At 55.4% G+C, this 14,631-nt stretch overlaps 1 protein-coding gene across 6 annotated transcripts in view, besides 1 other annotated feature; it reads left to right on the plus strand.

The window, feature by feature from the left end:
* Positions 1 to 14,631, plus strand: part of GSE1 (Gse1 coiled-coil protein) — a 506,689-nt gene that overhangs the window by 232,436 nt on the left and 259,622 nt on the right. The window lies entirely within an intron of this gene.
* Positions 1,230 to 1,758: an enhancer, noted in NCBI's record as "H3K4me1 hESC enhancer chr16:85436783-85437311 (GRCh37/hg19 assembly coordinates)". NCBI's record gives its function as "activates a minimal SCP1, AML or CMV promoter by ChIP-STARR-seq in primed H9 embryonic stem cells {active_cell/tissue: H9 hESC(primed)}" and the evidence as "EXISTENCE:reporter gene assay evidence [ECO:0000049][PMID:30033119]".

Below are 14,631 nucleotides of genomic sequence, written 5' to 3' on the forward strand. Positions count from 1 at the left end.
ATGAGTCTGCAGGTGCAGCTCAGTGTCTGGAGCTCGCCCTGAGGGACAGCAGCTGCGCTCCATGCCAGGTTTTCAGAACTGGAGCCCGGAGACGTTGGAGGCCCAACCATTTCCTCACAAGTCGTTCTGTTCCCAAGTTTGAGAACCACTGGCCCAGAGAGGGTAGCATCCTGTGCCGTTTGTCCCGGAACGCAGCTTACGGCACACTCTGGGTGCCCTGCGATGTCTGGGCTGTGTCCATAGGAACCTTGCGGCCTGGCGGGAGGTGAGATAAGCTGGTGGGTACTGAAGCCAGAGCGGCCTGTCCACCGGGCCACCGTGTTTTCCATCCTGAACCCAAGACGCTGAGAAGCTCGGGGGAGAGGAGTCGCCAGTGGGATGTCTGGTTGGAGAAGCTGCCAGGAAGGGGGACTCGAGAGAGCCTGGGAGGAGGAGGTTTGCAGAAGGGAGCGCACAGCCTCAAGAACGGGGCTGAGCGAATAGGGAAGGTCATGGTGGTTTCTCTGAGGGCCGGGGCCATGCTGAGTCCCAAAGCTGAGGCTGGAGATGGGAGAGTGGACCCAGAGAGAGTGGCCTGCAAGCCATGTGGAGCCGGGGCTGGGACATCACAGGGCGGCACTTTGAAGAGAGCTTGTCGGGAGCGCGGCGCTGGGCCTGCCAGTTACCTCTGGCTGCCTAACAGATTGCCCCAAGGCCAGGCATGGTGGCTCACACCTGTAATCCTAGCATTTCAGGAGGCTGAGGCGGGAGGTTCACTTGAGCCCAGGAGTTCAAGACCAGCCTGGACAACATAGTGAAACCCTGTCTCTACAAAAAATACAAAAGTTATCCGGGTGTGGCTCCTGTAGTCCCAGTTACTTGGGAGGCTGGGGCGGGAGGATCACCTGAGCCAGGGGAGATGGGGCCTGCAGTGAGCTTTGATTGTGCCACTGCATGTCAGCCTAGGTGACAGTGAAAGACCCTGACTCAAAAAAAAAAAAAATTGCCCCAAAACTTCGTGGCTCCAGACGCCATTTATTATCCCACAGCATGTGCGGGTCAGGGATCCGGATCCAGCTTAGCCGGGCCTCCTGGGTATCAGCCTTCCCCAGCTGAAGGCTTGGCTGGGGAAGGATCTACTCCCAAGCCCTCTCCCATGGTTGCTGGGGGGGGACTCAGTTCCTCTGGGCCGTGGGATAGAGGCCTCAGTTCCTTGCCGGATGCTGGCTGGAAGCCACGCTGAGCTCACCACAGGGATCCTGTGCTATCAGGCAAGCCAGGGTGCGGGGGAGGGTAAGAGAGGGCACACGCAATGGCAACCACAGTCTGTAACCGACACCGGAAGCGAGCCCCCTCACCTGTGCCATGTTCCATTCATTAGGGGCAAGTCACCAGGTCCAGCCCACACTTAAAGGGCGGGGGCCACCCAGGGGCATGACCACCAGGAGGCGTGGTCATTGGGGGCTCGTCAAAGCTGCCCCCAACACTGAGTGTTCGGAGAATGAGGGTCTCTTGGTTGGTTAAGTTTGTTAATGAATGTGCCTTGTGACTCTTCAAGGGAGGGATAAAATTGACATTGTAGGCCGGGCACAGTGGCTCACACCTGAAATCCCAGCACTTTGGGAGGCTGAGGTGGGAGGATCACTTGAGCCCAGGAGTTTGACACCAGCCTGGGCAACATAGTGAAACCCTGTCTCTACAAAAATAAAAAAACAAAATAACAAAATTAGCCGGGTATGGTAGCACATGCCTGTGGTCCCAGCTATGTGGGAGGCTGAGACGGGAGGATCGCTTGAGCCCAGGAGGTTGAGGCTGCAGTGAGCTGTGATCCTGCCACTGCACTCCAGTCCTGGTGACAGAGTGAGACCCTGTCTCAAAACAACAACAACAAAAACCCAGAAATGTATTCTGCCACAGTCTGGAGGCCAGAACTCCAGCATCAAGGTGTGGGCAGGGCTGCACCCCCTTCAGAGGCTGCTGGGAGGCCCCTTACTGCCTCTCCCAGCCTCTGGGGACTCTGGCTTCCAGGGCTTGTGGCCGCTCACTGCAGCCTTCAGGGCAGGCATCTTCACCTCCCTCTCTGTGCCGTCCTTACGGGGCCTTTCCTCTGTGTGCGTCAGAACTCCCTCTGCCCACCTCTCAGAAACCAGCTTGTGATTGGACACAGGGCCCCCCCGGATAATCCTCACTGTTACACTCAGGGCCCCCCTGGATAATCCACACCGTTACACTCAGGGCCCCCCGGATAATCCTCACCGTTACACTCAGGGCCCCCCTGGATAATCCTCACCGTTACACTCAGGGCCCCCCCGGATAATTCTCACTGTTACACTCAGGGCTCCCCCAGATAATTCTCACTGTTACACTCAGGCCCCCCGGATAATCCTCACTCTTACACTCAGGGCCCCCCGGATAATCCTCACCGTTACACTCAGGGCCCCCCTGGATAATCCTCACTGTTACACTCAGGCCCCCTGGATAATCCTCACTGGTACACTCAGGCCCCCCGGATAATCCTCACTGTTACACTCAGGCCCCCCGGATAATCCTCACCGTTACACTCAGGGCCCCCCCGGATAATCCTCACTGTTACTCTCAGGCCCCCCTGGATAATCCTCACTGTTACTCTCAGGGCCCCCCTGGATAATCCTCACTGTTACACTCAGGCCCCCCGGATAATCCTCACCGTTACACTCAGGGCCCCCCTGGATAATCCTCGCTGTTACTCTCAGGGCCCCCTGGATAATCCTCACTGTTACACTCAGGCCCCCCGGATAATCCTCACTGTTACACTCAGGCCCCCCGGATAATCCTCACCGTTACACTCAGGGCCCCCCCGGATAATCCTCACCGTTACACTCAGGGCCCCCCTGGATAATCCTCACTGTTACTCTCAGGCCCCCCTGGATAATCCTCACTGTTACTCTCAGGCCCCCCTGGATAATCCTCACTGTTGCACTCAGGGCCCCCCGGATAATCCTCACTGTTACTCTCAGGCCCCCCTGGATAATCCTCACTGTTACTCTCAGGCCCCCCGGATAATCCTCACTGTTACACTCAGGGCCCCCCTGGATAATCCTCACTGTTACACTCAGGCCCCCCGGATAATCCTCACTATTACACTCAGGCCCCCCGGATAATCCTCACCGTTACACTCAGGGCCCCCCCGGATAATCCTCACTGTTACTCTCAGGCCCCCCGGATAATCCTCACTGTTGCACTCAGGGTCCCTCTGATAATCCTCACTGTTACACTCAGGGCCCCCTGGATAATCCTCACTGTTACTCTCAGGCCCCCCTGGATAATCCTCACTGTTACTCTCAGGCCCCCCTGGATAATCCTCACTGTTACTCTCAGGCCCCCCGGATAATCCTCACTGTTACACTCAGGGCCCCCCTGGATAATCCTCACTGTTACACTCAGGGCCCCCGGATAATCCTCACTGTTACTCTCAGGCCCCCCTGGATAATCCTCACTGTTGCACTCAGGGTCCCTCTGATAATCCTCACTGTTACACTCAGGGCCCCCTGGATAATCCTCACTGTTACACTCAGGGCCCCCCTGGATAATCCTCACTGTTACTCTCAGGCCCCCCGGATAATCCTCACTGTTGCACTCAGGGTCCCTCTGATAATCCTCACTGTTACACTCAGGGCCCCCTGGATAATCCTCACTGTTACACTCAGGGCCCCCCTGGATAATCCTCACTGTTACTCTCAGGCCCCCCTGGATAATCCTCACTGTTGCACTCAGGGTCCCTCTGATAATCCTCACTGTTACACTCAGGGCCCCCTGGATAATCCTCACTGTTACACTCAGGGCCCCCCTGGATAATCCTCACTGTTACTCTCAGGCCCCCCGGATAATCCTCACCGTTACACTCAGGGCCCCCTGGATAATCCTCACTGTTACTCTCAGGCCCCCCGGATAATCCTCACCGTTACACTCAGGGCCCCCCTGGATAATCCTCACTGTTACTCTCAGGCCCCCCTGGATAATCCTCACTGTTACTCTCAGGCCCCCCGGATAATCCTCACCGTTACACTCAGGGCCCCCTGGATAATCCTCACTGTTACTCTCAGGCCCCCCGGATAATCCTCACCGTTACACTCAGGGCCCCCCTGGATAATCCTCACTGTTACACTCAGGCCCCCCTGGATAATCCTCACTGTTGCACTCAGGGCCCCCTGGATAATCCTCGCTGTTACACTCAGGGCCCCCCTGGATAATCCTCACTGTTACACTCAGGGCACCTGGATAATCCTCACTGTTACTCTCAGGCCCCCCTGGATAATCCTCACTGTTACTCTCAGGCCCCCCTGGATAATCCTCACTGTTACTCTCAGGCCCCCCTGGATAATCCTCGCTGTTACACTCAGGGCCCCCTGGATAATCCTCACTGTTACACTCAGGGCCCCCCTGGATAATCCTCACTGTTACTCTCAGGCCCCCCTGGATAATCCTCACTGTTGCACTCAGGGTCCCTCTGATAATCCTCACTGTTACACTCAGGGCCCCCTGGATAATCCTCACTGTTACACTCAGGGCCCCCCTGGATAATCCTCACTGTTACTCTCAGGCCCCCCGGATAATCCTCACTGTTGCACTCAGGGTCCCTCTGATAATCCTCACTGTTACACTCAGGGCCCCCTGGATAATCCTCACTGTTACACTCAGGGCCCCCCTGGATAATCCTCACTGTTACTCTCAGGCCCCCCGGATAATCCTCACCGTTACACTCAGGGCCCCCTGGATAATCCTCACTGTTACTCTCAGGCCCCCCGGATAATCCTCACCGTTACACTCAGGGCCCCCCTGGATAATCCTCACTGTTACTCTCAGGCCCCCCTGGATAATCCTCACTGTTACTCTCAGGCCCCCCGGATAATCCTCACTCTTACACTCAGGGCCCCCCTGGATAATCCTCACTGTTACACTCAGGCCCCCCCGGATAATCCTCACTGTTACACTCAGGGCCCCCCGGATAATCCTCACTGTTACACTCAGAGCCCCCCTGGATAATCCTCACTGTTACTCTCAGGCCCCCCGGATAATCCTCACTGTTGCACTCAGGGTCCCCCGGATAATCCTCACTGTTACACTCAGGGCCCCCCGGATAATCCTCACTGTTACACTCAGGGCCCCCCCGGATAATCCTCACTGTTACACTCAGGGCCCCCCTGGATAATCCTCACTGTTACTCTCAGGCCCCCCTGGATAATCCTCACTGTTACTCTCAGGCCCCCCTGGATAATCCTCACTGTTACTCTCAGGCCCCCCTGGATAATCCTCACTGTTGCACTCAGGGCCCCCCGGATAATCCTCGCTGTTACTCTCAGGGCCCCCCTGGATAATCCTCACTGTTACACTCAGGCCCCCCGGATAATCCTCACTGTTACTCTCAGGCCCCCCGGATAATCCTCACCGTTACACTCAGGGCCCCCCCGGATAATCCTCACTGTTACACTCAGGGCCCCCCTGGATAATCCTCACTGTTACTCTCAGGCCCCCCTGGATAATCCTCACTGTTACTCTCAGGCCCCCCTGGATAATCCTCACTGTTGCACTCAGGGCCCCCTGGATAATCCTCACTGTTACACTCAGGGCCCCCCCGGATAATCCTCACGTGTTACTCTCAGGCCCCCCTGGATAATCCTCACTGTTACTCTCAGGCCCCCCTGGATAATCCTCACTGTTACTCTCAGGCCCCCCTGAATAATCCTCACCGTTGCACTCAGGGCCCCCTGAATAATCCTCACCGTTACACTCAGGGCCCCCCGGATAATCCTCACCGTTACACTCAGGGCCCCCCGGATAATCCTCATTGTTACACTCAGGGCCCCCCTGCATAATCCTCACTGTTACACTCAGGGCCCCCCGGATAATCCTCATTGTTACACTCAGGACCCCCCTGGACAATCCTCACCGTTACACTCAGGCCCCCCGGATAATCCTCACCGTTACACTCAGGGCCCCCCTGGATAATCCTCACCGTTACTCTCAGGCCCCCCTGGATAATCCTCACCGTTACACTCAGGGTCCCTCTGATAATCCTCACTGTTACACTCAGGGCCCCCTGGATAATCCTCACTGTTACACTCAGGGCCCCCCTGGATAATCCTGTTACTCTCAGGGCACCTGGATAATCCTCACTGTTACACTCAGGGCCCCCCTGGATAATCCTCACTGTTACTCTCAGGCCCCCTGGATAATCCTCACTGTTACACTCAGGGCCCCCCGGATAATCCTCACTGTTACACTCAGGCCCCCCTGGATAATACTCACTGTTACTCTCAGGCCCCCCTGGATAATCCTCACTGTTACACTCAGGCCCCCCGGATAATCCTTACTGTTACACTCAGGGCCCCCCGGATAATCCTCACTGTTACACTCAGGGCCCCCCGGATAATCCTCACTGTTACTCTCAGGCCCCCCGGATAATCCTCACTGTTGCACTCAGGGTCCCTCTGATAATCCTCACTGTTACACTCAGGGCCCCCTGGATAATCCTCACTGTTACACTCAGGGACCCCTGGATAATCCTCACTGTTACTCTCAGGGCACCTGGATAATCCTCACTGTTACACTCAGGCCCCCTGGATAATCCTCACTGTTACACTCAGGGCCCCCCGGATAATCCTCACTGTTACACTCAGGCCCCCCTGGAAAATCCTCACTGTTACTCTCAGGCCCCCCTGGATAATCCTCACTGTTGAACTTAGGGCCCCCCGGATAATCCTCACTGTTACACTCAGGGCCCCCCGGATAATCCTCACTGTTACACTCAGGGCACCTGGATAATCCTCACTGTCACTCTCAGGCCCCCCTGGATAATCCTCACTGTTGCACTCAGGGTCCCTCTGATAATCCTCACCGTTGCACTCAGGGCCCCCCGGATAATCCTCACTGTTACACTCAGGCCCCCCTGGATAATCCTCACTGTTACACTCAGGCCCCCTGGATAATCCTCACTGTTACACTCAGGCCCCCCTGGATAATCCTCACTGTTACACTCAGGCCCCCTGGATAATCCTCACTGTTACACTCAGGGCCCCCTGGATAATCCTCACTGTTACACTCAGGCCCCCCGGATAATCCTCACCGTTACACTCAGGGCCCACCTGGATAATCCTCACCGTTACACTCAGGGCCCCCCGGATAATCCTCACTGTTACACTCAGGGGCCCCCTGGATAATCCTCACCGTTACACTCAGGGCCCCCCTGGATAATCCTCACCGTTACTCTCAGGCGCCCCGGATAATCCTCACCGTTACACTCAGGGCCCCCCGGATAATCCTCACTGTTACTCTCAGGCCCCCCGGATAATCCTCACTGTTGCACTCAGGGTCCCTCTGATAATCCTCACTGTTACACTCAGGGCCCCCCGGATAATCCTCACTGTTACACTCAGGGCCCCCCTGGATAATCCTCACTGTTACACTCAGGCCCCCTGGATAATCCTCACTGTTACACTCAGGGCCCCCCTGGATAATCCTCACTGTTACACTCAGGGCCCCCCCGGATAATCCTCACTGTTACTCTCAGGCCCCCCTGGATAATCCTCACTGTTGCACTCAGGGCCCCCCGGATAATCCTCACTGTTACACTCAGGGCACCTGGATAATCCTCACTGTTACCCTCAGGCCCCCCTGGATAATCCTCACTGTTGCACTCAGGGCCCCCCTGGATAATCCTCACCGTTACACTCAGGGCCCCCCTGGATAATCCTCACCGTTACACTCAGGGCCCCCCGGATAATCCTCACCGTTACACTCAGGGCCCCCTGGATAATCCTCACTGTTACTCTCAGGCCCCCCGGATAATCCTCACTGTTGCACTCAGGGTCCCTCTGATAATCCTCACCGTTACACTCAGGGCCCCCCTGGATAATCCTCACCGTTACACTCAGGGCCCCCCGGATAATCCTCACTGTTACACTCAGGGCCCCCTGGATAATCCTCACTGTTACTCTCAGGCCCCCCCGGATAATCCTCACTGTTACACTCAGGCCCCCCGGATAATCCTCACTTTTACACTCAGGGCCCCCGGATAATCCTCACTGTTACACTCAGGCCCCCCGGATAATCCTCACTGTTACACTCAGGGCCCCCCCCGGATAATCCTCACTGTTACACTCAGGGCCCCCCGGATAATCCTCACTGTTACTCTCAGGCCCCCCGGATAATCCTCACTGTTGCACTCAGGGTCCCTCTGATAATCCTCGCTGTTACACTCAGGGCCCCCCTGGATAATCCTCACTGTTACACTCAGGCCCCCGGATAATCCTCACTGTTACACTCAGGGCCCCCTGGATAATCCTCACTGTTACTCTCAGGCCCCCCGGATAATCCTCACCGTTGCACTCAGGGCCCCCTGGATAATCCTCACTGTTACACTCAGGCCCCCCTGGATAATCCTCACTGTTACACTCAGGGCCCCCCGGATAATCCTCACTTTTACACTCAGGCCCCCCTGGATAATCCTCACTGTTACACTCAGGGCCCCCTGGATAATCCTCACTGTTACACTCAGGGCCCCCCTGGATAATGCTCACTGTTACACTCAGGGCCCCCCGGATAATCCTCACTGTTACTCTTAGGCCCCCCGGATAATCCTCACTGTTGCACTCAGGGTCCCTCTGATAATCCTCGCTGTTACACTCAGGCCCCCCGGATAATCCTTACTGTTACACTCAGGCCCCCGGATAATCCTCACTGTTACACTCAGGGCCCCCCGGATAATCCTCACTGTTACTCTCAGACCCCCCGGATAATCCTCACTGTTGCACTCAGGGTCCCTCTGATAATCCTCGCTGTTACACTCAGGCCCCCCGGATAATCCTTACTGTTACACTCAGGCCCCCGGATAATCCTCACTGTTACACTCAGGGCCCCCCGGATAATCCTCACTGTTACTCTCAGGCCCCCCGGATAATCCTCACTGTTGCACTCAGGGTCCCTCTGATAATCCTCGCTGTTACACTCAGGGCCCCCCTGGATAATCCTCACTGTTACACTCAGGCCCCCGGATAATCCTCACTGTTACACTCAGGGCCCCCCGGATAATCCTCACTGTTACACTCAGAGCCCCCCTGGATAATCCTCACTGTTACTCTCAGGCCACCCGGATAATCCTCACCGTTGCACTCAGGGTCCCCCGGATAATCCTCACTGTTACACTCAGGCCCCCCGGATAATCCTCACCGTTACACTCAGGGCCCCCCTGGATAATCCTCACTGTTACACTCAGGCCCCCCGGATAATCCTCACTGTTACACTCAGGGCCCCCGGATAATCCTCACTGTTACACTCAGGCACACCGGATAATCCTCACTGTTACACTCAGGGCCCCCCTGGATAATCCTCACTGTTACACTCAGGCCCCCCGGATAATCCTCACCGTTACACTCAGGGCCCCCCTGGATAATCCTCACTGTTACACTCAGGCCTCCCGGATAATCCTCACCGTTACACTCAGGGCCCCCCGGATAATCCTCACCGTTACACTCAGGTCCCCCCTGGATAATCCTCACCGTTACACTCAGGGCCCCCCTGGATAATCCTCACCGTTACACTCAGGCCCCCCGGATAATCCTCACCGTTACACTCAGGGCCCCCCTGGATAATCCTCACTGTTACACTCAGGGCCCCCCCGGATAATTCTCACTGTTACACTCAGGGCCCCCCCGGATAATTCTCACTGTTACACTCAGGCCCCCCGGATAATCCTCACTCTTACACTCAGGGCCCCCCGGATAATCCTCACTGTTACACTCAGGGCCCCCCGGATAATCCTCACTGTTACACTCAGGGCCCCCCGGATAATCCTCACCGTTACACTCAGGGCCCCCCTGGATAATCCTCACTGTTACACTCAGGCCTCCCGGATAATCCTCACCGTTACACTCAGGGCCCCCTGGATAATCCTCACCGTTACACTCAGGCCCCCCGGATAATCCTCACTGTTACACTCAGGCCCCCCCTGGATAATCCTCACCGTTACACTCAGGGCCCCCCTGGATAATCCTCACTGTTACACTCAGGCCCCCCGGATAATCCTCACCGTTACACTCAGGGCCCCCCTGGATAATCCTCACTGTTACACTCAGGCCCCCCGGATAATCCTCACCGTTACACTCAGGGCCCCCCTGAATAATCCTCACTGTTACACTCAGGCCCCCCGGATAATCCTCACCGTTACACTCAGGGCCCCCCTGGATAATCCTCACTGTTACACTCAGGCCCCCCGGATAATCCTCACTGTTACACTCAGGGCCCCCCTGGATAATCCTCACTGTTACACTCAGGCCCCCCGGATAATCCTCACCGTTACACTCAGGGCCCCCCTGAATAATCCTCACTGTTACACTCAGGCCCCCCGGATAATCCTCACCGTTACACTCAGGGCCCCCCTGGATAATCCTCACTGTTACACTCAGGCCCCCCGGATAATCCTCACTGTTACACTCAGGGCCCCCCTGGATAATCCTCACTGTTACACTCAGGCCCCCCGGATAATCCTCACCGTTACACTCAGGGCCCCCCTGGATAATCCTCACCGTTACACTCAGGGCCCCCCTGGATAATCCTCACTGTTACACTCAGGCCCCCCGGATAATCCTCACCGTTACACTCAGGGCCCCCCTGGATAATCCTCACCGTTACACTCAGGGCACCTGGATAATCCTCACTGTTACACTCAGGCCCCCCGGATAATCCTCACCGTTACACTCAGGGCCCCCCTGGATAATCCTCACCGTTACACTCAGGGCACCTGGATAATCCTCACTGTTACTCTCAGGCCCCCCGGATAATCCTCACCGTTGCACTCAGGGTCCCTCTGATAATCCTCGCTGACCTCTCCAGTGCAACTGTTGATTTAATCACACCTGCAAACACCCTTACCTTTTTGCCATATAAAGCCGCATTCACAGGTTCCAGGGATGAGGACAGGGACATCTTTTCAGGGGGCCGTGATCCAGCCCACCCCAGCCCCTGTGTGACTGTATTGACCATGTGTCCGTGAAGCCATCGGCCCGGGTGCCTGTTCGGGTGCAGGTTATAATGCTGAGCCTTTATCGCACACTTAGGAGGGCCTGGCTTCTGGAAGGTTCCGTGCTGCTGCTGGAGGGGCCGCCCCACGGAGCCCCTGCTGCTCTGCTTGTCTCTTGGCTGTTTCCAGGCCGAGCGCCCTTTTCCATTTTGAAGCCTGTGTGTTTCCGCACACCCTGCAACAAGCACGTGGAAGTGCCGCTCCCATCCGGGCAGCGGCCGCTGTGAGTGAGGTTGAGGCAGCGGGGCTGAGGGACCCCCATCTCCCACGAGAGTGTGGGACACGGGGAACGAGGTGGGTTGAGGGTTGGGAAGCCAAGAGCTGAGTAGCTTTGGCGCTTTACCTAGGAGGAAGGCAGGGCCATGGAGGGAGGGTCCAGGAGGGAGGAGCTGCCTGAAGTTGGGGAGATTGATGTCACCATCTTCCCCAGCTGTGACCCCCAAGCATGGCGGCCTGCTCTCCCGGGTGACCGTGGAGCACCATCTTCCATCACTAATGTCACTTACACCTTCAGGCGGCAAGGGCTGAGGGTGGGCTGAGGGTCCCGGTGGTCTCCAGACTTCCTTCAACCCATGTCAGTAAAGTCACGTTAAGCACACGCTTCGCAAATGGACATAGTTACTTAGGTATCAATTACATACATGTACCACTGGCCTAGCAGACTGTACCTTATAAAACTGACCCCCAAACAGCAATTCAAAAAGGGGGTGAGGAATTTAACATAGAGAATCCTAATGGTTACTCCCAGAACCTCCAGGGCAAGGAGGGTGATATGGTTAGACTTTGTGTCCCCACCCAAATCTTGCCTTGAATTGTAATCCCCAGCTGTTGAGAGAGACACCTGGTGGGAGGTGACTAGATCATGGGGGTGGTTTTCCTTGTACTGTTCTCGTGATAGTGAGTGAGTTCTCGTGAGATCTGATGGTTTTATAACAGGCCCTTCCCCCTTTGCTCAGCACTTCTCCTTCCTGCTGTCTTGTGAAGAGGGCACCTTGCTTCTCTCTCACCTTCCGCCATGATTGTAAGTTCCTGAGGCCTCCCCAGCCATGCAGAACTGTGAATCCATTAAACCCCTTTCCTTTATAAATAACCCAGTCTCAGGCAGTTCTTTATAGCAGTGTGAGAACGGACTAACACAGAGGGTGTGCACAGCTGGCACTCCCCCATGGGCCCACGCTCCCCTTCCATGCCACAGGTCTATGGGATGAGGAGTCAAGCTAGACACAGAGCAGGGAGGGGGCATTTAGGGGACTTACTCGGAAACATCAGATACTTTCACGTGCTGAGAAAGCTGGTATTTCGGGAACTGCATTGGTTGCTAAATCACTGCCATGGTCAGGTGTTTCTCCAACATCTATGTCAACAACCCACAATATGGATTTCACATTTTATATCATGACGCAGGCCATGTACACATCTTCCCTGAAACAGCGCACACCCTTTCTCCACACCCACATCTCTCGCATTTTCTATTCTGTTTTGTGCCATGGAAAAAGACTACTGCCCTGACCCACAGAATGACATCGCCATGCCTTCGTGGGTCCCAACACCCACGCTCAGAAACACAGGTGTCAGGGCTTGTGCCCTGGGGCTTTGGAGAAGGGAGACAGCATCATAATTTTGATATGCATAGACATTAGTATGACTTTATTCTAGTTATTTATTTATTTCTTGAGATGGAGTCTTGCTCTGTCACCCAGGCTGCAGTGCAATGTTGCGATCTTGGCTCACTGAAACCTCTGCCTCCTGGGTTCAAGCAATTCTCCTGCCTCAGCCTCCTGAATAACTGGGATTACAGGCACCTGCCACCATGCCTGACTAATTTTTTGTATTTTTAGTAGAGACGGGGTTTCACCATGTTGGCAAGGCTGGTCTTGAACTCCTGACCTCAGGCGATCCACCTGCCTCGGCCTCCCAAAGTGCTGGGATCACAGGCATGAGCCACCGTGCCCAGCCTGATTTTATTTTTATTTATTTACTTTTGATACAGGGTCTCACTCTGTTGCCTAGGCTAGAGTGCAGTGGTCCAATCATAGCTCACAGCAGCCTCTACCTCCTGGGGTCAAGCTATCCTCTTGCCTCAGCCTCCTGACTAGCTGGGACCTTGGGTGTGCACCACCATGCTAATTTTTGTATTTTCTGTAGAGACAGGGTCTCCCTATGTTGCCCAGACTGGTCTTGAACCCCCGTACTCAAACGATTCTCCCACCTTGGCCTCTCAGAGTACTTGGATTACAGGTGTGAGCCACTGTGTCTGGCCAGGACTTAATTTTATATTTGTGTACCTTGTTTTCTCATCTTTTGGGTCCCCCTGGGGAGGGAGTGTGTCCTCTTCATGTCTACAGAGGACCTACAGCAGACGAAGTGCTAAATAGGACATGATGATGAATGAATGAATGAACAAATGAATGACTATATAATGACTGTTACTGGTGGCTTCCAGGTGCTGAGGGCGTCCTGGGGTTTGCTACGGCAAACTTGCCATCCTAGAGATGCAGAGCTGGCAAACCGGGTCCTCACCCTGAGATCCCTGGCTCTGCTCCCCGAAGGCAAGGCAGATGGCCGCCTTCTCAGCCCCCGTCCCCTACCAGCCAGGGCCCCGAGCAAACCCTTCTACAGCAGCTGGCCTCTGCTGACCCCGTGATCGGGATCTGCTCTGTTTGGAAGAAGATTCATTCCCTGTACAGTTGACGGCCCCACAGCAGAGCTGCGAGGGTGGGAGGCGCAGCCCGGGTCGGCCTCCAGAAACTTACGGCTTGTTCCCCCTGTCCTGGAGGTGCTGGCTGCCAAGCTGGCAGTGACAGTTTTATTGGCAGGCAGGCCCGCTAGAAGGATTGTAGGCTATTTACAGTGTTGAGGCCATGGCTTTGCAAGGAGACAGTTAACATAAATTCACATGATGGATCCGTTATCACTTCATTGAACTTGTGGCGGACCCATCGAAGGCCGAGCAATAACACACTGTTTCCTGGGTTTGCACAGCCCAGGGATACATTAAATACACTTTATTTATGGCTCACCATCGCGGCACTGTGGGCAGGAGAATGCAGCTTTTGCAACTATCGTCTAATTTTATGATGAGCATTAAAGCCGGGCCTATAATTTGCACCTTTTTATTCATTAGACAGTGGTGCAGCCATAAGTCAAACAGGCCCAGGGATTTAGATGCCGATCCAGAAGATAAACTATTGACAAGCCAGATGTATTTTTACATTAGAGCGCCTTTACAATAGTTTATGTTGAGAGTGGAATATAAATTGCATTATTAAATATGAACCGCTCTTGGAACCCGGCTCGCCAGCCTGCTGGAGGAGGGAGGGGCCCGGGGCCGGGAGCTGGGAGGGCCGCCTAATTTCTCAAGGTTGAATGTATAATTCTGCTCTGTGGGGTTTCTCCGTTCAGAGCCCCCAAGTGGGAGCAAGTGGTGAGATGGGGTGGGGCCATGGGTTCAGAGCGGCTCCTCCCGAGCAGGTGGGAGTCCACCGGGCGGTGCTTTCTGCCCAGCTCCTTCCCGGAAGGAGGTGCAGCCCCTGCCACGTGGGATGCGGTGTGCCCACTTGCCCTCTAGGGGGAGCCCGGGTTGAGGGTGGCAACCTGTG

This window comes from Homo sapiens, chromosome 16 (assembly GCF_000001405.40).
Source record: "Homo sapiens chromosome 16, GRCh38.p14 Primary Assembly".
NCBI classification, from domain to species: Eukaryota; Metazoa; Chordata; class Mammalia; order Primates; family Hominidae; genus Homo; species Homo sapiens.